The sequence below is a fragment of the Homo sapiens genome, chromosome 13, assembly GCF_000001405.40.
Source record: "Homo sapiens chromosome 13, GRCh38.p14 Primary Assembly".
Taxonomy (NCBI): domain Eukaryota; kingdom Metazoa; phylum Chordata; class Mammalia; order Primates; family Hominidae; genus Homo; species Homo sapiens.
This window is the reverse complement of record NC_000013.11, coordinates 109546745-109572171: the sequence shown is the minus strand read 5'-3', so window position 1 is coordinate 109572171 and position 25427 is coordinate 109546745. Positions and strand designations below refer to the sequence as shown.

Here is a 25427-nt window from a genome sequence, read left to right as displayed (position 1 = left end):
AAAGATTCAAATTCAGATAGGATGGGGCCTGGCATGGTTCAAAACCTCCCTTGATGATTTTAATATATAGCTAAGTTTGAGAGCCCACTGATCCAATGCTTGAAGTGAAAATTATTGTCACGTAATTTACGGAGGAGAATACAGAGGCCTAGGGAGATTTGGTTATTTGTTCAAGGCCACACATCTGAGTGTTGGAGCTATGATTACAACCCTGGCTTTTCTGTGCCCAAAGTTGAAATCCTTCAGGGTAATAACTCCCAACTGCAGCTGAATATTAGAATCACTGAGGGTATGGACAGGTGTCTGGACCTCATTCAACATCAGACATCCTTATTGTCAAAGTTTCCCAGATGAATCTATTGTAAAAACCATATCTGAAATCAGTCTCAATGACCTGAAAAATGACCAACTGCATTAAAAGTTCTTGGGGTGCATGTTAAACAATAGCGATTCCAGGTTAACACCTAGCTCTACTAAGTCAGTTCATATGAGTTGGGGGCCAAGGATCTGGGCTTAAAATCTAGATGAAGCTTTTCTAGCATTTTTTTTTCATACACAGAATTTTTAGAACTAATGCTCCATATTATGCATCCAAGTATTTATATTTTAGTTGACTCTTCTCCGATTCTCTTTCCCTCTCTCTCTTCTATTCCTGTCTCTCACTTTTCTCATCCCCACTACTTCCCCATGTGTATGTCTTTGTCTGTATGTCTGTGTGTCTGCCTATTAAAATAAAATAACTTCTCAGAATAAATTCATTTTCAGACTGAAGACCTTTAGCAGAAAATTATACTTTATTAACATCTATTGGTAAAGTTATCTAAGATGTACCATCTCATCCTTCACTCCATAGTAAGTGGAAATATATATATATATATATATATGTATATGTATATGAAATTTGTTTTAGTTTCTAATTTAGATTAATCTGGTTTTATTCTTCTTTCCATTGGTAGTTATCATAAAATAGTAAGGTATTCTTTTATTTATATTTCCTGAATTCACTTATATAGAGAAAAGAGAAGGACAGAATTAAACATGGGGACAGATGAAGAAGTAAAGAAGATGAAAATGAGGAAGATAAAAAACAAACTGAAGGTAATTAAGCAATTGCTGGAAGAAGGACTAGACGAAGGAAAATTGAATTGGAGACTATTATTCTAAGAGATGTAACTCAGGAATGGAAAACCAAACATCGTGTGCTCTCACTTATAAGTGGGAGCTAAGCTATAAGGATGCAAAGGCATAAGAATGAGACAATGGACTTGGGGGACTCGGGGGAAAGTGTGGGAGGGGGTGAGGGATAAAAGACTACACATTGGGTACTGTGTATCCTGCTCGGGTGATGGGTGCACCAAGATCTCAGAAATCACCACTAAAGAACTTGTTCATGTAACCAAACACCAGCTGTTCCCCAAGAAACCTACTGAAATAAAAAAAAAATCAATTAAAAAATAGAAAAAGAAAGGATGGAACAGAACAAGGGAATGAAAGAAGGACCTAGAAGAAATGAAATAGGAAAGAGACAGGAAGAAACACGTGATAATTTATTGTTTACCAAGTTCTTTCTTATTTGATCCTCAAACAACCTTGTGAGAGAAGCACTGCATGTCAGTAGTGTCAGGAGCAGCTGAACATTGATGCTGCCAAGAGGCCCACAACCTGCCTGTGGTTATCTCTCTAGGAAGTGGGGACGAGAAAGCAGAAACCCGCCGACCTGGCTGTTCTTTCAGTTTTGCTTTCTATCCAACCAATTGTATGAAAAACACTCATGGATATCATTTCTTCCTAAAAGCTGGAGAAACTCTGTGGGAAATACATGCAGGGCCTGAGGGTCAGGAAGAACAGGGCCCGTGACCTCAGAATTTAGCTTCAGCTTGGGTGTCTTTACCTGAATTGTCACATAAGGAAAATCCTAACTCAAGCATAAGTCAAGCACATCTTTCGTCTTTTAGTTTTCCTTCTCTTGCCTAACTAGGGCCAAAGCTCAAGTTCCAACCAGAGGGCTGTGACTAGACTTGCAAGGTTGCAGGGCGATGCCATTGCTACCACAGTCAGTACACATGGAGGCCACACTGAGCGGGACGGCATGGTGGGATACTTGTGTCGTGTACTTTATAACTTACCAACAGGCCCTGTTCTTTCCTTTTCGTGCTTGAGTGACAAGGTGCTCTAAATGTCCTGTCCCTTGTCTCCTCCACTGCTTAGAAGTACAGAGAGGGAGCTGTCTGCCTCCAGTAGATTTGCAGAGAGGGAGCCGTCTACACTACAGTAGATTTGCAGAGAGGGAACCATCTACACTACAGTAGATTTGCAGAGAGGGAGCCGTCTACACTCCAGTAGATTTGCAGAGTGGGAGCCGTCTACACTCCAGTAGATTTGCAGAGAGGGAGCTGTCTATACTACAGTAGATTTACAGAGAGGGAGCCATCTGCATCCAGTAGATTTGCAGAGAGGGAGCTGTCTACACTACAGTAGATTTACAGAGAGGGAGCCGTCTACACTACAGTAGATTTATAGAGAGGGAGCCGTCTACACTACAGTAGATTTATAGAGAGGGAGCCATCTACAGTAGATTTACAGAGAGGGAGCCGTCTACACTACAGTAGATTTACAGAGAGGGAGCCGTCTACACTACAGTAGATTTATAGAGAGGGAGCCGTCTACACTACAGTAGATTTATAGAGAGGGAGCCATCTACAGTAGATTTACAGAGAGGGAGCCGTCTACACTACAGTAGATTTACAGAGAGGGAGCCGTCTACACTACAGTAGATTTACAGAGAGGGAGCCGTCTACACTACAGTAGATTTACAGAGAGGGAGCCGTCTACACTACAGTAGATTTACAGAGAGGGAGCCGTCTACACTACAGTAGATTTACAGAGAGGGAGCCGTCTACACTACAGTAGATTTACAGAGAGGGAGCCGTCTACACTACAGTAGATTTAGAGAGAGGGAGCCGTCTACACTACAGTAGATTTAGAGAGAGGGAGCCGTCTACACTACAGCAGATTTGCACGGCACATCCTCTATGGTAGTTTTTTGTTTTGCTTTGTTTTCCCATACACTTAGAAATGTATGAAGTAGTTCTCCTGAGGTTGGACTTGATTTATTGGTAAGGACAAAAAAGGATGACTTACTCACCTGGGTCCAGAGCCCAGAGCAGGTGAGGTCTAGAAGACAAGCTGGACGTTAATTGTAACCAAATGTAGCAGAAGGCAAGGACTCAGAGTTAGGGAAGCAGCAGCCGCAAGAGATTGAATGGAGTCAACTTGGAGAGTAGAGGCAGCCTGTTTAGAGGAAAATGGGAAAAATGGGAATGGAACCTGGATAAATGCATTGAAATGCTGACATGTTCTCAGGTCCAGGCAAAAGAGATACACAGAGAGAGGCATTCTGGCCTCCCTCCAGACTGGGTGATGATAAAAAGCTCCTGTTCATGGGCACAGGGTCTTTTTATATGCCTGCGCTTTTCCTAGGCAGAGGCTGGTGAATCTTTGGAAAAAACAGTCACAAGATTATTGTGCTTTCCTCCAATTATCTATTATCTCTAACATGTGTTTTATGGACCAAAAGACGTGTCATCTGAGCAACCCAGGAGTAAAAACAGGGCACAGAGATCCTGCTGTGTGTGCAAGTCTTGGAAATCTGTTTTCCTGAACAAACAAGTTAGTTGAAAGAACAAAGTCTGAAAGTGAATCATGAACTCTTGTTTTGATAGAGCAGAAACTGTTTTTGAAAACATCTACGTTGGATATTCGGGCACAGATGGTCAGTGTAGGACCAGAAATTAACTATAAATTTCCAAGAAGGAGTTAGGCCAGCTGACTAGTCTGTTCTGTCTTTTTATCCCACAATAATTCAAAGGCAAAGATAACAAAAATTATTCAACACACTGAAAACATTATACACTGTTTAAGACTCCAAGTAAACAGCTTTTGTTAACTCTTGCATAAATAAATTTAATAAATGGAAAAAACCAATCTTAATATAAAAGAGGCTCAAAATGAGTTTTGAATTTGGCTAAGCAAAAATTAATGTAAACAATATGTTGGGTTTTTTTGTAATTCCTAAGGCATTATGAATTAATAAGAAAAATTATGTAGCTGAAGGAAATCCTCTGAATTGCATTACTTTTTTACTAAAAGATGATATTACTTTTTGAATGGGAAAACAAAAGATATTAAAATTTAAAAATCCAAATACTTTGCGGCAATATATTAAAATATTTTATTTTCAGAACATTAACATATCTATTGGAAAACCTTTGGACATCTGAATAAAATTCATATGACAACTTAGAATGTAGACATACTTGTTTAGACTACATAAAAACTGTTTAAAGTTTATCTTTCCCATTATAATCTGGGGAACTCTGCCTAAAAGCTCCACAACTCTTGGAAGATACTTGTCTAATTGTAAAAAACTGGCTGACTTTTAAAATGTTTAAGAGGACTTTCTCAAGTAAAATAAAAATATTGACTGAAGTTTTAGACAAATCACTTCAAAAACAAAACCAATAAGATTTCCTGTGTTTTAAAATAAGTACATTAATAGAAGTTCCCCCACTTTTGGATAATACATAAAACCATGATGACTTTCACTGTTTTGGAAATCTCTGAATCAAGCTCTGTTCATTTCCGTTTGCCCCCGGCAGAGGGACTGACCAATATTTGGCTAAAGTAGCATGGATAGAAATATATAAAATAGTGAATGACATTTGATTACTCACAATTTTTTAAATGATTTACATAATGCTTGCTCAATTTTGCATCCCATTTGCACACATGGCCATAATTAAAGATCAATGATATGAAACTACAATTTTAGTGTTTACACACTGAGATTTTAAAACAACTACTTTCACTAGTTTCTCATCTTATCATGACTTAGTGTGAGTATCACAACTTATTGCTTTTGGCAGTTTAGATGTGGCAGCCGTGAGACTGTTTAGAGGGCAGCGGTCCTCCTGGGTCCCCTCTGCCAGGAGTCCAGGCCCTTTCCCCAGAATTAATGCTTTTCCAAAAGGGGTAGGTAAATATCCCCTTCCATCAAGTTGAGAATTCACAGTATAACCCGAGAACTATCCGTATCCATCAAGGGCAGTGTCAAGTGTATGCCTGAAGCATGGATTCCTCACAAGAAAGACTGAGGGCAGGCAGGTCATCAGATAGGTGCTTGGACAGAGCAGCCCCAGGCCTGGGCGCCAGGCATTAGTGGCTGGGAGAGCAGCAGGAGCAGCAAGAACTAGGAGGCGGGTGCTTCACAGGCAACCGGTGTATTAGTCTGTTCTCATGCTGCTATAAGGACATACTCAAGACTGAGTAATTTATAAAGGAAAGACATTTAATTGACTTACTGTTCTGCAGGGCTCAGGAGGCCTCAGGAAACTTAAAATCATGGTGGAAGGGGAAGCAAACACATCCTTCTTCACATGGTAGCAGGAATGAGAAGAATGAGAGCTGAACAAAGGGGGAAGCCCCTTGTAAAACCATCAGATCTCGTGAGGAATCACTCACTATCACGAGAATAGCATGCGGGAAACCGCTCCCATGGTTGAATTACCTCTCACTGGGTCCCTCCCGTGACACGTGGGGATTGTGGGAACAACAATTCAACATGAGATTTGGGTGGGGGCACAGCCAAACCATATCAACCAGTTATCTATAGGCAAGTGTAAGAGGAAAAAAGCAAAACAGAGGGATCTCCAGGGACAGGTAGGTAGGTGAGAAATGCCCTCCCAATTCCATTTATCAGTAGACACATGTTTTGTTTCCTCAGAGCACAGCCTAGAGCAGGAGCACACAGGAAGATGGCACATGGGCACAGAATTGTCCCAAAATGCAGCTTGAAGTGGAGAACGGGGCTGTATGGAAAGAAGCCCCTTCTGCCTGGGGACTGTAGGAGTTCTTTGCTGGGGAAAACATTTTGAGTTCCGTTGTAGAGGATGAGAAAACTTTCTAGATATAAATGTAAAAGTTAAGTATGTTCTTGGCATGAGTCAATTGAAGAAAAAGGGGCACCTGATACAGAGTGAGAATTTCAAGGTGACAGAAACACAAGTGTCATTTGAGGCTGGGATGGGATGGGGAGAGATGACGTTTACAGGGGCGTTTGGGGCAAGACTGTAAGGGATGAAATGACTGGCCATGGTATTTGAAATGGCTTCTGTGGAACACGGTGTATGTGTGTGCGTGTGTGTATGTGCACGTGCACGTGTGTGGTTGTATCCATGCTTATGCACTAACTGAGATGACAAGAGAGATGGAGAAGCAGCCCCTGAAATATAAGAATTTCAACTTTGGGTGTCTTCTGTTTGAAATGCTGTGAGACCCCTGTATAGAGATGACCAGAATGCAGATGGAGTTACAAGTGTAAGGAAATCTCTGACAAAATACAGACCCAGGGCCTTCAAGACTGACACAGGCAAAGCCATACCCCTGAGGAGAGGGCAGCAGGGTCTGGGGCTGCCTCACTGACCTCTGAGACTCCTCTTCCCCTCAGAGAGGCATAGTCACGACTTCTCACCCTAACCTGGTCATACCCATGGTGACGATGCCCATTTTCCATATCACTCTATAGTATAGCTAAACAGAGTTTGGGCCATTTAAACAGGCATAACTCAAGGTGAATTAAGGACTTGTCAGAGACTATTCCTCAGAGATTTCCATTAAGAATAATCACTGCAGCTAATTAGCTTCACAAACACCACATAATATTGTCATTGGTTATCAAACACATGTTGATGTTTTACATTTTAACATTTATGAAGAGTGTGCACATCTTCCAAGCATTGATGGCCAGGAGCACTCAAGATGGAGTTGCCGGCTGGGTGCTGTGTCTCATGCCTGTAATCCCAGCACTTGGGGAGGCCGAGCCTGGTGGATCACTTGAGGCCAGGAGTTCATGACCAGCCTGGCTAACATGGTGATACCCTGTTTCCAAAAAAAAAAAAAAGAAAGAAAATTAGCCAGGCGTGGTGACACACACCAGTAATCTCAGCTATTCGGAAGGCTGAGGGACAAGAATCACTTGAACCTGGGAGGTGAAGGTTGCACTGAGCTTAGATTGTACCACTGCACTCCAGCCTGGGTGATAGAGTGAGACCCTATCTCAAAAAAAAAAAAAAAAAAAAAGGAGTTGCCATTGCCCTCATTGTGTGTGACCTCAGCTGTCATTCTAGGTCATGTTGGGGCAATGGGAACCCCTCAGCATTTCAGGCAACAAAACACTTAAGGAATTAAAAACTAAGATGTTTCATTATAAGAAGGGGGTTAGCTTATGCACCTAATGGAGCTTATAAATACATGGAACAAGGACTGAGAACTGATAGAGATGCAAAGAGAATAGAAAACTCCACAAATTCAGAGATTTCAATGCCTGTCTCTTAATAATTGATAGAAAAAATAGATAGAAAATTGTTAAGAATATAGAAGATCTGAACAGCATCACCCACCAATTTGACCTAGTTGACTTTTATAGACCAATCAAAGCACACAGTGTTTCAAATGCACACAGAAAGACTATATATTTGGCCATAAAATAAAAGAAATAAAGACACATGTCCACACAAGTACATATATAAAAGTGTTTATTGTATGTTACTCTGTAATATTCAAAACCTGGAAACAACCCAAAATGCCATCAAAGGTGAGTGGATAAACATACTGTGATACAGCCACACAATGGAACACTACACAGCAAAGAATTAAATAAGCCGTTGATAAACATGAAAACATGGGTGAATCCCAAAATAACTGTGTGTCGTGAAAGAAGTCAGACCCAAAAAGAAATTTGTACAATGGTATAAAATTAAATAACATTTTGGTAAATGAAAATTGTTCGAGAGAGACAAATCAGAGAAGTATTTGCCTTTGAACAAGAGTGTAGGTTGAAAGGAAGGATGTCAGGGAGGAATTACAAAAGGGCATGAGAGAACATTTGGATTGGGAGGTGGTGGACAGATTCCCTTCTTAGATTGTGGTGCTAGCTTCACAGGTATGCCCATATGTAAAACGTATCAAAGCTTTTAAGATATGCAGTTTATCATGTGTCAATCATGCCTCATAAAGATATTAAACCTCTCAATAAGTACAAATTAGAAATTTGAAATGAGAAGAACATTTTATAGCATTGTTTATTTGGCAGTGCTTTTCTTCCTTCGTGGCACATAGAACAATAGCTCACCCTATGATGAATGGCCGGGGTGTTCAATCTTTTGGCTTCCCTGGGCCACATTGGAAGAAGAATTGTCTTGGGCCACACATAAAATACAACACTAATGATAGCTGATGAGGGTAAAAAAATCACACACAAAAAAGTCTCATAAAGTTTTAAGAAAGTTTATGAATTTTTTTGGGCCACATTCAAAGCCATCCTGGGCCACATGTGGTCCGTGGGCCATGGGCTGGACAAGCTTAATTAATGGTGTCTGGGATTCACTACACCACAGGTGTACTTTGATGCCCTTATAGATCCTCAGGAATCAGTGTCTAAGGAGACAAGGAACATCACACTAATTGATCATGGAACTCATTTTTAAGTAATTGTTGGCAGTTTCTATGTGCACAGAAAGAAGAATCTAGACAATCCTGATTACAAAATAGAACTTTCTTTTAAAGACACACAGGTATTAACTCATCCTAACTTCTGCTCGTTCATCTTCCTTGAGGACAGTAACTCTCTGAATGGAATACCAAGGCCTTGATGTGTCCAATATTTACTCAGGAGCTTCACTACAGTAGCAGAGAGGTTATTTGATTTTCCTAAGCTCTGGAACTTGAAGAGATTCTGCAGCTGGAAGTTTAGATTGAGACCCACCAGCATACAGAGGCAGTTAGAGCCACAGGAGGGAATAAGCCCACCGATGTAGAAAGGTAGAGATTAGAAGAGAGACAAGGTCAGAACTCCAAGGTGGACTATTTTTCACAAAACAATCAGGCTAGTTTCCTTCATTAGATGCAAGAAAATGATAGAAGAGAGTAAAGAGAAAACAATGACCTTGTCTTGGTGGATCAACCTCCTACATGATGAGGGTTGGGTGGCCAAGCCTGCACTCATATGCACATGGATTGTTTGCAATTAGCAGCAATGACTATTATCACTAGTAGAGCATATTAACAATATATGATGAAGTAGCCCTCAATGATTTTGCATTTATTATAATAACACTTCAACTTTTAAAGAATGTACATCTTTCCTTTTTCCAAAAGGGAGGAGTTAAGTCATCATATAAAGAACAATAACAAAAAAGATAAAACAAAAAGAATACCTCACCAAATGAAAAATTCAGATAAATTGGAACCAAGCAGGATGAAGAAGCTAAGTGCACATTAGACACCCAGCTTTAAGCTTTGTGGCAGCCACAGGAAAGCAGTAGATACAGCACTATACAAACTCCATTGTAAAAGCTTGGGCACACACAGCAACCCTCAAGAGAGAACTTTCCTCTTCCCATTCCCCTGACTGACCTGGCAGACTCAGATGGCTAAGATGCGCACTCTTACCCCAACCATTTCACGGCAAACATAGAAATAGTATTCATCCGCGTACAGCTCTAAGCAACCTTTCATGAAAGTCAGATATGATATGGAGGTATTATTTTATTAAAATGTTAATTTCATCTAGTCTTTGATTTGGTCCAAAGATGGAACTTAGACTCTTTAGATTGTAGCATCCTTTAGATTATCTTGCTCAAGTGTTGTTTGATGGAAATCAACCTTTGGCAAGCCGCTGAATGGCAGGAGATAACAATTATATTAATTCGTTGGAATACGGATTGCTTTAATTGCTGATTAGGGACAGAACATAGACCTTGGCAACCAGATAAGCAGGGGTAGAGTCATTCTTTCCTTTAAAAAATCAGGGAACCCAATAGGAAGTCTACCCTATGGAACACAGAGGTGGGGTGGAGGGGTAGCTAAAGGCAAAGCCAGAATTGTTCTCCAAAAGCAGGGTGGGGTCTGTTGTAGAATATGAACATATATTAATTCTGCTAAGGACTCAGAGCTTGCCACCACAGAGCAGTGCTTCTCTGTGTTGTCCCCTGACCATCTCTACCCTATTTTCTGCAGTACTTGTGAGTAATGCAGGCTCCTGGGTCCTACCCCAGACCTGCTGAGTAGGAATATTGACAGGGAGATGACTGAAGGATTCAGGAATACGTAGTTTAATGTGTTCCCCAGTTATTCTTAGACATTTTGAAATTTGGTAACTAACTGCACAAAAAGGGTTTCACTTGGAAAAAAAAAATCTCAGAGCTGGTGTTGCCAGTTACACTGGGAAGAATTATTCCTTCCTTCGATTCCTTATTTCTCTTCCTGTCCTCTTTTCCTCATTTCTTCCTTTCTTCCTTGTGCATTTATTGAGTGGCTACTATATTGAGGGCCCCATGTAAAGTACTGAGGCTACAGAAATGCATAAGGTAGTCATCTGCCCCAAGCCACATGACTTCCAATATGACTGATGAGAAGAATTAACTACAATAGAGATCTTTTAAAATGAATTGAAATAGCCTGCTCTGCAGGATTATTTGATGTTTATCATTTTGCTATTGCAGAAAATCCACAATGCATATCTCTGCTTGATTGGTGAATGTTCAGCCCATCTTTTTGGTATTAGATATAAACGAGGCTCACTTGTTTCTTGTAATCATTCCTAGTACCTGACAGGTGGGAGTGTAAATTAGTTCGACCATTGTGGAAGACAGTGTGGTGATTTTTCAAGGATGTAGAAGCAGAATACCATTTGACCCAGCAATCCCATTACTGGGTATATACCCAAAGGATTATAAATCATTCTACTATAAAGACACATACACATGTATGTTTACTGCAGCACTATTCACAATAGCAAAGACTTGGAACCAACCCAAATGCCCATCAGTGATAGACTGAATAAATGTGGCACATATGCACTATGGAATACTATGCAGCCATAAAAAATGATGAGTTCATGTCCTTTGTAGGGACATGGATGAAGCTGGAAACCATGATTCACAGCAAACTAACATAGGAAAAGAAAACCAAACACCACATGTTCTCACTCATAATTGGGAGTTGAACAATGAGAACACATGGACACAGGGAGGGGAACATCACAAAATGGGGCCTGTTGGGGTTGGGGGGCTAGGGGAGGGATAGCATTAGGAGAAATACCTAATGTAGATGATGGGTTGATGGGTGTAGCAAACCACCAAGGCACGTGTATACATAGGTAACAAACCTGCACGTTCTGTACATGTATCCCAGATACATGTACAGATACATGTATCCCAGATACATGTACAGATACATGTATCCCAGATACATGTACAGATACATGTATCCTAGATACATGTACAGATACATGTACATCAGGATATATATATATATCCTGAACTGATTCAAGTTCCTGTTTAAAGACCCTCACTTAATATACATTGCATCAAAACTTAAAATTCAAATGCTTTCTTCTTAAACTGTAGTATAGAATCAGTGCTTGGGAAAGATAAATCTCACTAAATGAGTCTTTCTGAAACTACCCCCATTTGGCACAAAAAGAGGAGGGGGGTTACATAACTTAAGCGCCAAGGTGAGGTGTTTGTCATGAGAGTTTAATGCTGAATTCTTGTAATATGCCACTTATAGACTGCAGAGATTCAGTCAACAGCGGCATTTTTCGCACGCCCATTATTTTCCAGACACAATGTGAACCCTGGGAATTCAAGGCTGAATAGTACGAAGTCCTTTCCTCACAGAGTTCAGGACCCAGGAGTGGAGGCCAGATAAGGGTAAGCTGAACAGGTGCATCCATTGCTCCTCCAGAATTTCTCTGTAGGTTGTGATCACATTTTAGAGTTTATTTTCTGTTTTTCCATATCAAGTTCTTTTTCTTTCAGTTTTTTTTAGAGGGTCAGGTGAAACTTAACATTTGTCTTTTTCCAGTCTTACTCTTTTTCTTTATTAAAAATTGTATGTGCTTATAGTGTACAACATGTTGTTTTAATATATGTATACATTGTGGAATGGCGAAATCAAGCTATTTACATACGCATTACATCACACACACTTTTTTTATAGTGAGAATACTTAAAATCTGTCATAGCATTTTTCAGATATACAATATGTTGTTTTTAACTGTAGTCACCGTGTTATACAATAGAGATCTGGAATTTATTCCTTCTGTCTACCTGAAATTTTGTATCCTTTGACAAACATCTCCTCAATTGCTCCACTCCTCAGCTTCTGGTAACAAGCATTTTACTGTTTCTATGAGTTTGACTTTTTTTTAGATTTCACATATAAGCGAGATCATGTGGTCTTTGTCTTTCTGTGACAGGCTTACTTCATCTAACACATTGTCTTCCAGGTTTATCTGTGTTGTCACAAACGACAGAATTTCCTTCTTTTTGAAAAACCAAATAGTATTACATTGTCTCTATAAAAAAATACAAAAAATTGCCAGGCACATGGTGGTGCATGTCTGTAGTCCCAGCCCCTCAGGAGGCTGAGGTGGGAAGGTTGCTTGAGCCTGGGAGGTTGAGGCTGCAGTGAGCCATGATCACACCACTGCACTCTAGCCTGGGCAACAGAGCAAGACCGTGTCTCAAAAGAAAAAAAAAGATAAAGATTATAGTACTTTATCGTGTATACATACCACATTTTCTTTATCCCTTCACCTACTGATGACCAATTAGGTTGCTTCCATATCTTGGCTATTGTAAATAGTGATAAACTAAACATGGGAGTGCTGATATCAATTCCTTTGGATACATGCCCAGAAGTGAAATTGTTGGATCATGTGGGAATTCTGTCTTTAGTTTTTTGAGGTGTCACCAAACTATTTTCCAAAATGGCTATACTAATTTACATTCCCATCAACAGTACACAAGAGTTCCCTGTTCTCCACATTTTTACCAATACTTATCATTCATCTTTTTGATAATAGCCATTCTAACAGGTGTCAGATGTTATCTCATTGTTTTAATTAGCATTTCCCTGATGATTAGAGACACTGACTTTTTAAATACATCTGTTGGCTATTCATATCTCTTCTTTTGAGAAATATCCCTTAAGATTCTTTTCCCATTTTTAAGTTGGGTGTTTTTTTGTCATTGAGTTGTTTGAGTTCCTTATATATTTTGGATATTAGCCCCTTATCTGATGTATGGTTTACAAATATTCTCTCTTATTTCATGGGCTATCTCTTCACTCTCTTCATTGTTTACTTTGCGCACAGAAGCTTCTTATTTTCATGTAATCCCATTTGTCCATTGTTGTTTTCATTGTTGTACTTTTGGAGTCCGATCCAAGAAATAATTGCCCAGACCAATGTCATGTTTTCCTTATGTTTTCTTCTAGCATAGCAGCTTTACAGTGTCAGGTCTTATATTTAAGTTGTTTATCTGTTTTGAGTTGACTTTTCTATATGGTATGAAATAAACATCCAATTTCATGCTTCTACATGTAGATACTCAGTTTTCCTAATACCGTTTATTGAAGGGACAACTCTTTCCCCATCATGTATCCTTGGAACCTTTGTTGAAATTAATCGACTATACAGGTGGAGATTTATTTTTGTGTTCTCTATTCTGTTTCACTGGTCTGTATGCCTGTTTTTACACCAATACCATGCTCTTTTGATTATGATAGCTTTATCATATATTTGGAAGTCAGGTGGTGTGATACCTCTGGCTTTGTTCTTTTTGCTCAATTGGTTTTGCTATTGAAAGTCTGTTGAGGCACCATACAGATTTTATGATTTTTTCCTATTTCTGTGAAAAATGTCATTGTTATTTTGATAGAGATTGCATTAAATCTGTAAATTGCTCACATTTTGTTAAAATGTGAACATTTTAACAAAATAATCCTTCTGGTTCATGAACACAGGATATCTTTCATTTTATTTTTGTCTTCAGTTTCTTTCATCAGCATTTTATAGTTGCAGTGTACAAGTCTTTTACCTCTTTGGCTACATTTATTCCTCTTTGTTTGTTTGCTGCTATTATGAATGGGATATTTTCTTAATCTTTTTTCTGAATAGTTTGTTGTTAGGGTATAGAATCCACTACTAAAAAAATAGAATGCTACTAATTTTTGTATATTGATTTTGTATCCTGCAACTACACTGAATTTGTTTATTACTTTTATCAGTTTTTTTGGTAGAGTCCTTAGAGTTTTCCACATATAAGGTCATGTCATATGAAAACAGAAACTTTAACTTATTCTTTTCCAATTTTGATGCTTTTTAATTCTTGTTCTTGCTTAGTCGCTCTGGCTAGGACTTCCAGTACTATGTTGAAGCAAAATGGCAAGAGTGGAAATTCTTTTTTTGTTCCTGATCTCATGGGAAAAGATTTCAACTTTTTACTGTTGAGCATGATATTAGTTATTGGGTTGGTATATATGGCCTTTATTGTGTTGAAGTACATTTTTTTTTCTGTTTCTAATTTGTTGAGAGTTTGTGTCATAATAGGAGGTTGAATTTTGTTGGATGACTTTTCTGCATCTGTTGAAGTGATCATGTGATTTTTGTCCTTCATTCTGTTAATGAGGTGCATTGCATTTATTGATTTGCATATCTTGAGCCACCCTTGCATCCTAGGAACAAATTTCACGTGGACATGGTGAATGATTCTTCATGTGCATTGAATTAGGTTTGCTAGTATTTTGTTGTGGATTTTTGCATGTAAGTTCTTCATGGTTATTGGTCTGTAATTTTCTTTTCTTCTGGTTTTCTTGTCATTGATTGGTATAATTGTAATGCTGGCCTTGTAAAATGAGTTTGGAGGTATTCCCTTTTATTTATTTTTTTGGGAGAGTGTGAGAAGGATTGGTACTAGTTTTTCTTTCAGTGTTTGGTAGAATTCAGCAACCAAGCCATCAGGTTCTGAACTTTTCTTTGATGGGATATTTTATTATAGATTTAATTTTTTATGTGTTATTAGTCTGTTCAGATTGTTGATTGCTTCATGATTCAATCTTGGTAGGTTAGATGGGTCTAGGAAATTATCTGTTTCTTCTAGGTTATCCAACACATTGATGAATAACTGTTCATAGTAGTTTCTTATGGTCCCTTGCATTTCTGTGTATCAACTGTAGTGTCTTCTCTTTTGGTTCTAATTTTATTTATTTCAGTCTTCTCTCTTTTTTTTCTTGGTTAGTCTAGATAATGGTTTGTCAATTTTGTTCATCTTTTCAAGAAACCAACACTTAGTTTTGTTCATCTTTACTGTTGTTTATCTAGTCTCTGTTTAATTTATTTGTGCTCTGAGCATTATTGTTTTTCTTTCTTTATTCACTTTGGGCTTAGTTTGTTCATCTTTTTCTAGTTCCTTGAGGTGAACTTTAGGTTTTTTATTTGAGATATTTTTTTCTTTTTTGATGTAGATGTTTATTGCTATAAACTTCCCTCTTAGATCTGCTTTTGCTGCATTTCATAAGTTTGGTATGTTGTATTACCATTTTCTTTTATGTCAAGATATTTTAAATTTTGTCTTTAAATTTCTTATTTGATCTTTTGTATAGAAACATGTTTAATTTCCACATATTAGTGAATTTTCCAAAATTCTTGTTATTGATTTCTAATTTCATATTCTTGTCATCAGAAAAGATATGTGCTATGATTTCAGTCTTTTAAAGTGTGTTATGATGTTTTTTGTGGCCTAACATATGACCTATCTTGGAGAATATTCTGTGTGCATTTGAAGATAATTTGTATTTTGGTGCAGTTGGATGGAATGTTCTGTGTATGTCTATTAGGTCCATTTGGTCAAAGGCTCAGTTGAAGTCCAGTGTTTCGTTACTGATTTTCTGTCTGGATCATTGTCCATGGTAGAAAGTGGGTATATTTAAGTCCCTTATTATTATTGCATTGCAGTCTCTCTCTAATTGCTTTGTATTTTTAGGTGCTCCTATATTGGGTGCATATGTATTAATTGTTATTATAGCTTCTTGATTCATTGATACATTTATTGTTATTTAAGGACTTTCTCTGTCTATTTTTATAGTTTTTGACTGAAAATCTGTTTTATCTGATATAGGTGTAGCTATTCCTGCTTTTTGTTCCATTTGTTTGGAATATCTTTTTCTATCCCATCACTTTTTAGTCCATCTGTATCCTTCAAAATAAGATGGGTCTCTTGTAATATGGTTGGGTCTTCATTTTTTATCCATTCACCCACTCTATGATTCTTAATAAAATATTTAATCTATTTGCATTCAAGGTAATTATTCATAGGGAAAGACTATTCCCATTTTGTTAATTATTTTGTTGTTTTGTAAATGTTTTTGTTCTTCCCCTTTTGCTGCCTTTTTCTGTGATTAGATTATTTTCTCTAGTGGTATGCTTTAATTCCTTACTTTTAATTTTCTGTGTATCTAATATAGTTTTTTGCTTTGTGGTTACTATAAGGCTTATCTAAAACTTCTAACAGCCTATTTTAAGCTGATAACAACTTAAATTTGATTGTACTAAATAGTTATACTTTTACCACCCTCAGTCTCACACTTTATGCTTTTGATGTCACAATTTACATAATTTTCTGTTGAAAATACCCTAATTTATTAGGGCTACATATTTTAATAGTTTTCCTTTAACCTTGATACTAAAGATATAAGGGATTTACATACCACCAACACATTATTAGAGTATTCTGAATTTGACGCTGTACTTGCTCTTACCAATGGGTTTTACATTTTTATTTGTTTTTGTGTTACTAATTAGTGTTCTTGTATTCCAGCTTGAAGAACTTTCCTTAGCATTTATTGTAAGATAGGTCTAGTGATGGTGAACTCCTTCAGTGTTTCTATGTCTGGGAAGGTCTTTATCCTTCTTTCACTTTTCCCCTGAAGGCCAACTTTGCTGTGTACACTATCCTTGGCAGTTTTTTCCCTCAACGCTTTGAATATATCCTCCCAGTCTCTCATGACCTGTAAGTTCTCTGCCAAGAAACATGCTACTAGCCTTATTGGAACTCCTTTATATGTTTTTTGCTTATTTTCTCTTGTTGCTTTCAGAATCCTCTCTGTCTTTGATTTTTGTAGTATGATTATAATATATCTTGTGTAGGTTTCTTTGGATTGAATCTTATTCCAACCTCTGACTTTCTATAACTGGGTATTTATATTTTCCCCATATTTGAAATGTTTCTGTTATTATTTTTAAAAATAATCATTGCACTCTTTTGTTTGTCTCTTCTCCTCCTTTAACTCCTGCAACTCACACATTTGCTCTTTTGATTTTATTTCACAAATCTCATAAAATTTCTTCATTCATCCTCATTCTTTCTCCTTTGACTGTACATTTTCAAATAAGCTGTCTTCAGGTTTATAAATTATTTCTTCTGCTTGATCATTTCTACTCTTGACACTTTCTATTGCATTTTTTTCTTTCTTTCATTATATGTTTAAGTTCCAGGAATTTTGTTTGATTTTTTTTATGATTTAAATCAGTTAAATTTCTTGTTTTGGTCATTTATTATTTTTCTAATTTTGTTGAATTGTTTCTGCTGAGCTTCCTTAAACCAATTATTTTGAATTCTTTGTCACACAGTTTGCATATCTCCATTTCTTTGGAGTCAGCTACTGAAAGATTATTGTGGGGTTTTTTGGTGATGTTATGTCTCTTTATTATTTTTTTTAATGTTTCTTGTTGCCTTACATTGATTTCTGCACATTTGGTGAAGAGATCACCTCTTGCAGACTTTATGGGCTAATTTTGCTGTGTAAATTTATTTTCCTATAGGTTTGAGAGTGTTTGCTGTGGTGTGCAAGAGTTCTGCCACTGATGAGGGCACAGCTGTGTATTCTCTGAGCAGTTCTGTCAGCTGAGGTCAGTGTTGATGAAGGTTACAGGGATTCTCAGGGACTAATGTTGTGGGTGGTCATAGTGGTGGTGAGAGTTGATGAGATCTTCAGTGGCAATGGCTGCTAATGTCCTCCAGATCTCTTTTTCTCTCACTAATGAAGTTGTGGCTGAGGGGATCCCTGTTGGTACTGGGTCTGGCTTGTGGGCTTCCCTGTGGTAGTGGTGGCATGAGTGTCTGATGAGTGCCACCTCTGTAGCGGCCATGGAGCTGAGGCCTGAAGCATGGGTGTACATGGAAGGACTCTGGCTTCGGGGGGCAGTAATGTTATTGGTGCTCAGGGTGCAGGCAGCTCTTCTGCTACTGCGTTGGTAATGTTTGTGAGAGATGAATGTCTGTGAAACAGCTGGGAAACTGAGAATAAGAGCACAGGTATATGCAAAGTTACGGTGGCTCTGGGATTGGGATGAGGCCTAGTTATCTATGGCAGCTGAGCCAGGTCTTGGAGTATAGGTATAAGCATCAAGGGCTTGGCTCTAGGGCCAGAGTGCCAGCTAGCTCACTGTGGTGATACCTGTGGTGTCTGACACATGGGCAGGCCCACCACTGCCACAGAGCTTGGGTCTGGAATATGGGCACTTGTGGGAAAGTGAGGCTCCAGTACTAGGGCATGGGAGAACTTGGGAAAGGTCGTGGCTCCTTTCTTGAAGCAGCTCATCATCAGCTGCTTCTTGGCGGAGGAGGGATATGCAGGCACACCTTCCTTTCTGGGGTTCCTTGGTGGAAATGGCTACTGGTTACTTTAGTGGCAAAAGATGTTGGTGTCCTCTGTGGAGCAGGACACTGGGGACCATTGTGATTTCCGCTGTGTCTGATGCCAATAGCCTCTGCCTTTCTTCTTTGCTCTTCACCATCTCCTGGTATCTCAGGGATGCTGATCTCACCAATGATCTTTTCTATTTGAGTATTCTTTCTTTTTTGTTTTTCCTTCATGGTGTTGCTGAAGATTCTTTAATGGTCCCTTGAACCCTGTCTGGGCTGGTTTGGTTTGTGAATAGCTATCTAGTTTTGCTTGTTTGTGGGGAGATGAAGGCTGGTATTTTCATACTCTGCCATCTTGGTCTTTCTTACTCTCAATTTAGTTTCTTGAGCTTATTTTTCCTTCTGTTCTATGGCCCCACCTCTCCCCCTTCAAAGTTATGGTATAAGTGCAGAGGCATTGGCTGCATTTGCAGCCTAGAATGGGCTCCAGGCTCAAGGCAATTGGCTTGTTCTGGGGTATTATGACTAGAATGATGCTTGCTTGATTTCAGCTGGGCTTGGAAATACCAAAAGGACAGACCTGGCTGTATTCTGATATTTCTGTTTGGGTTGCAAGGAAGTATTGGGGTTTCAGAAGTAAAACTTCAAACTGTTAACCAAACACTTAAAAGTTGACAATTGTCCTAATCATACAGTGTGTATATATATATATATATATATAGAGAGAGAGAGAGAGAGAGGGAGAGAGAGAGTGATAGGAGGCCAGGGGTGAGCTTGGGACTGCTCAGGTTTGTATATCTCTGTATTAAAACACACCTGATGATCAGGTCTGTAGAGGAAAATTCTTCTTTGGCAGTAATGATACTGCCAAATGATACTTATTCCTTTCTACTTATACCCAATTTCAATATACTTCCTTCAAACTGTAACATAATTATTGATACACCTGGGTGTTTTCATGATGGACACAACATCCTCTTTTCATTTATTCTGTCTTCATTCGTTTTTTATTAATTTATTTAATAAATATTGTGGTTGCCTTGTAGGTGCCAGGCAAATGCATTATTCCACTGGCACATGATTGTACGGTTGTACTAGTTGTAAAATAGCCCCTACTTTGAGTTTTCCAGGTCCACCTTCTGCTCAGCTTCTATGGAGGTTGTTAGCACTTTCCAATGCAACCCATAACTCCAAATATCTCACCATAATAGCACCACATAGATTCCCAGAAATACATTTCCCACATCTACTGCTGTGTCCTTGACATAAAGGAAACTAAATGCATGAAGGTTTGGGGTTGTGCTGCTGCCAACACCAAAGATAGATGCTGCTTTTCAGGGCAGAGGGGATATGAGGCAGAAACACTTAGATAAAAGAAACGACAAATTAATTAGCTTGTCAAATTCTTCTTTTCAGAGAGCACAGATGCAATAGACTCTTGCATAATGAAGTATCATTCCTCAGCAACACTGAGCACCTAGGTTCCTCCTTCTCTTCATATACTAAATTTTGTTCAGAAGGTATTTGTGAATTAGCACACATTTCACAACAGTTGTATGAGATGGCCTGAGAAACATTTTCTAACATTAAATACGTCAAATTGCTCTTAAATTTTTATATATACATATGTATTTCCAAATATTTAATTTTGAAGCACGTAACCAATTTTTTTTTACATGGGAACTCGATGGATATTGAACACAAAATTGTGAATTTTGAGAATAAAAGTATTTAATAAGAGTTCTATTAAATTTTCAAAAGGGCATTGTAGCTTGCTTACATATTTTTGTGTAAAATTTTGTTACTCATTATCATGATTTGAATTTTGCATGACTATAATAAAGAAGATTCATATGCAAATGATCTTCAAATGGATTTCTATATAGACTGTTCTGACCATGAACAACATACTTCTATTTTTGGTTTAATTTAAAATTCTCTTGCAGTGAAAAATTTGAAAGAAGAATTTTAAAAATACTTTGTGAATCTAGTTACTCATTTAGCCAAAAACTGCTTTGTAAATTGTAGTCATTTATATGATAAAATTAAAATGTTTTCACATTTTCTACAATGACAATGATTCATCCTATACAACCTTATTACAATGTTTGAATGCTAGATGTAAAGCTCACGGCTTATTTTCAAATCTACAAATTACTTTGTGAATTTTATTAATAATACCAGTGTCTATTGCTTCAGCAGTGTGATGTTATTCCAATCTAAAATAACAAAAAACTTCCTGCAAAAATTTAAAAGCTATGGTGATCCCCCAAAATTGCTTACTTTGTGTCAGTAGAACACAAATTATGCAGAAGAATCTTTATTATAGCCCCCTAATTAGTGAATTTTCTAAAATAATGATAAGAAAAAATTGTATGAGATATAACTTATGAATTTTGTATGTAATTATTTTGTTACTTATCTAAACCTCTCCAGACTAGGGAGACATTTAGGTCTATGCACATTCAATTAATTTTATAATTATAAGGATATATTTATCCAGTTAGAAGGCAGGTGATATTTTATTCAGTAGTTTGCTAGTTTGGTTTGCACCTTTTAAATGTGGAAACGCAGGCCTCGATTAGTACTCTCGTACCTGTCTCTGTGGTATTACACAGTGGTGGAATGAACACGCAGCCTACCTTAGCATTGACGTTTGTCTCAGGTTCTTTGACTTGTTTGAGGGAATTGTTGGGGAGAATATTTGAAGAATCAGTTGTCTGTTGAGCTTTCCAGTGAAAATAATTCTGCTGTTGAAAGGACCACGAGGCCTCCCACAATTTTTCTTGTAGCTTTTTGGTTCAGTTGCCAGCTTTTTGGTTCAGTTGGTTCAGTTGCCAGTTTGGTTCAGTAGCTTTTTGGTTCAGGCTACCGGTGTTTGAATAGATAAGGAAGCCAAGATAGAGTTAATCTAGAGAGATAATAATCCACCCAGAAGTGGTGTCAACATTCCAAGCATCCTCTTTTATTTCCCATTTTCATAGAAAGAAAACAGATTGTCAAAGGCAAAAAACAAAACAAAACAAAAAACAACAAACACACTAATTAGGACTCAGAAATTTGACATTGGGAAATAAGGTGGAGGGAGAAATCAATTTCCTCTGTCAGTGAGGCACCCTTCAGAGGTACCAGTACTATCAGAGAGCACAGTACCTGACACGTAATAGGTGTTCAGTGAATGTACTCATTAATCAACGAGTAACAGAACGAGTGAAATGTAATTCTTATGCATGTGAATAACCACATGGAATAACTAAAATAATTAAATCCTGAAAAGGGCCTGAAATTATCTTGATGCTAAAGATGAAGCGAGAAACTGTGTAGCTCAGGCAATTTGGCATCTGTCAAGGTAACCAGCTCTATGTGACAAGTGTTTTATTAGGACCAGGGTTGAAGAATACAACCTTTGGTTCTCAGTGGTCACTGCTCCTGGGAGACTCCTAAACTCCTAAAATAGGGGAGAAGGTAGGTAATGTATCGAAACATATTTTCTTTCCTTTTTCTGCATCTTCTTATTTAGTTGTCATTACTATGTATTTGGCCACTTTTACATACTGCCTTGATTTAATAAGCAGCATCTTCCAGAATTCAAAGGCACAAACTTGAGGGAGCCCCATCTTCCTATCTGATCCTCTTCATTTGAGAGCAGTGAATACAGAGAAAAATGAGATTTTCCAGTTACTATGATGTTTCCAGGGCTGAGGAATGCTCTCTAGAAAGCCTCCTTTATCAGGTTTCAGAACATAGTGGTTTTACTTACCACCCTAGCTTGTAAGTTACACCATAATTACAAACTTAACTCACAAATCATCAGTAGACTGGGAATAAGACGAATTCCAATTTTATTTTTAAAAATCGCCAAAATAGGCATGCTTATACGACTAGTGCCGTTAATGTTTAAAAAAAAAGGAGCAAGTTGATAAACTTTAAAAAGGCTGAGGTCAGTTGAGCCATGTGGGGCTGCCTATGTGACCATGGCCCATGATTTTAAAAATCAAAAGCAGCCTTAGGTCACACTGGATTCTATGAGTGGGCAGCTCTTCTGGCTTCATCATGTGCCCATGGAGCATGGCCCTGCCTGAACTCTGGTTTCCTTATGCTGGTGGTTCCTTTGCCTAACTCATCGAAAGTTCTAGAGCAATTTTGGCAAGTCCCTCCATTTAAGAAGATCATGGGCCGGACGCGGCGGCTCACATCTGTAATCCCAGCACTTTGGGAGGCCGAGGCAGGCGGATCATGAGGTCAGGAGATGGAGACCATCCTGGCTAACACGGTGAAACCCCGACTCTACTGAAAATACAAAAATTTAACCGGGCGTGGTGGCGGGCGCCTGTAGTCCCAGCTACTCAGGAGGCTGAGGCAGGAGAATGGCGTGAACCCGGGAGGCGGAGCTTGCAGTGAGCCGAGATCGCGCCACTGCACTCCAGCCTGGGCGACAGAGCGAGACTCCGTCTCAAAAAAACGGTCATAGTGTGGCATTTCCAAATCATATGAAAAAAGTTCCAGAATAAAAAATATATCAATAAAAAGACTGGAAATCCAGGAAATCTTATGAGAGTATCAGCAACCAGATTCCAAGTGCTTTTATGAGTTCCAAGCAGTCTTGCATTTCATTTTGTGTGCACTCATTTACTACTGAATCTTCCCTAATTCTTTAACATAAAACTAGTGCACCGCCAGGTCTAAAGCCACCATGAACATTTACTAATGCGTCTATATCCCAAAAAGTAGATTTAAAAATTTAATCTTGACTGACTTTTAAATGTAACCCATCCTAAAAAGAGCCACTATTAGAAAAATCTAAAGCATTATGTAGTCTTGGTAGAGGCAGAGAAAGTGCTGATTCCATATGCAATTATGAGCTCCCATTCCCTCCTCTTTGGAGAATTAACATATTATGTAAATTATTTTACAAATATGGTGCAGTTGTCATTAATAAAACATGAAAGTGGGATCTGTGATGCCAATTAGCATTTTCATTGTATTTCCTGTCCAGTCACAGCTTACAGCGTATGCTGCTCTGTGAAAAACTGTTACTGTCATCAGAAACCTCTGTTTAGTAGTTACAGCATGAAGAGTGTCTGTGCTGACGTTGGTTGGGGAGGTCTGATGGAGGGTCAGGAGGAGGACAGAGGGTGGTTGGTTGGGTTAACGTCAGTGTCACCACAGCCTATCCTAGTGCCACATACCAATTCCACTTTGTTTTTTGAGTGATGACATTATGAGCTTGTTTATGGATGCTTGCTAAGCAGAAGGTCAAATTTAGATATGGTACAGTTTACGTTCTTCTATGAGGTTGAAATATTGTTAGGTTATGGGATTCAGAATTGTCACTGCAGCATAGTTTGACCTTGAGGCATTCATTCTTTGGTGTTTGTTTTTGAGGAGCAGGTGCAAGTTTTCTCAGTTCTAGCCGGGAGGTTTCTTGTAGGCCGTTGTAGAATACTCCTGAGTTGCTCTTATTGTGGACATTTAAAATGAAAGCTATTTACTTCAAAGTAACCACATCTCTCAGTCCATATGCAAATACTGTTTCAAAGAAAAAGAAGTTCGTCTGTTTTTAGCATCAGTAGTGTAGTAATTGTTGTCAACCTTAACAAATTCTCACGCTGATAGATGAGCAACGTTGATAAATTGCAATGGAAACCCTTGGATGAATATTACCCTGAAAGTTATGTCCCAAGCATGCATCATAAAATTAATTTCTCAGTCTAGTAGAAACAATACTCCTAATAATTAAAAGGCGTCTGCTATCAAGGGGCCAAACGAGAGAGGAATGTAAGTCTCTTGGCTCAGATCAACTCAGATAAAATTATGTAGATTATTCAGCAGAGAAGGGCCCCTGCTGTTGCCTCACTTAACCAGATTACTGGGGGTAATGTGATGGTGACCAGGGATGGGGGTGAGTGAACAAAGGCCAGAGGGTGGTCTGGTAACTCAGCCAGATTGTCCGTGCTGACTATGGCCAATGACTGTTAGCTCTCCCTTTCTCTGAGCCCAGTGGACCTAGGTAGCCAATCAGTGCACACCTCCTCTTATGTTTTGAGGTTCTCATTTTTGTGGTAACCCTTTGTAATGTCATTAGCAGCTCAGAGGTGACAAGGTGCATGCAGAAAGCTCAATTGTCCAGCAGGTAATATCCAAGAGAAGAAAGTGACTAGCCCAGGGCCAGCAGGCGTGCCAGTTACCATGTTTGACAAAACGCTAGCAAGAGGCAGCACCCTCAGAGCTGGGGCATGGCTGTGCCCTCTCTGAGGTTTGAGCTGGTATTTAGTTTTCAAATATTTAACTTTAACCCATTTAATATTTAGTAAGGCTAAAGGAATAAAAGATGAATTATTGAGGATATTAATGTTTTAAAAAACCAAAAAAAAAGTCACAGCCATGCAGCTTTGTATCAAAAACTCATTTCACAGGCATTAATTTTTTAATAACATGCTGATTGTATGGTGAAGTACAATGTTTGCTAATAAGCTCCAGTATTCAGCGGGAAGGCTTTATTATTTTGGGGGCACTAAATAAAATATTTGTTGAATGCTTTCTCATGTCAGTTTCAGAAACTGTTGAAAGAAATTTGAATAGTTAAACTCTGATTTTTTTCTTCTGATTTGTAACCTGAGTGGACTTTGGAAACCCTCTGCCATTGGAAACCTTCCCCATGAGGGGAGAACCTGCTTTTTCAGGACATAACTCAGCAGACAAAGGGATCACTATTAGAAATCATGTTTTCTGGGGGCGAAAGAAGAGGGAGGGGAGCTTGGGTGGGTGAATTAAAGCAGAATCAATAGGTGGGGCTTTGTTAATCAAGAAACCCAGTGCAGGAGTCAGTACAGATGGCAGAGTTGGGGAGGGGCAGGTATCTGGGAGAAGGAAGAGAAA

The 25427-nt window shown here is 38.5% G+C and overlaps 1 long non-coding RNA gene across 2 annotated transcripts; it reads left to right on the top strand.

Annotated features, from left to right (window-relative positions):
• The first annotated feature begins 767 nt into the window (after positions 1-767).
• On the top strand, positions 768-18249 carry LOC107984602 (uncharacterized). 2 transcript variants are annotated; one of them, XR_001750018.1, is made up of 4 exons: positions 768-852; positions 1014-1098; positions 11682-11771; positions 17726-18249. It is a non-coding gene; the product is annotated as an uncharacterized LOC107984602 (long non-coding RNA). The 2 variants fall into 2 exon arrangements; XR_007063871.1 differs by lacking the exon at positions 17726-18249 and having other exon boundaries at positions 11682-12439.
• The last annotated feature ends 7178 nt before the right edge of the window (positions 18250-25427 follow it).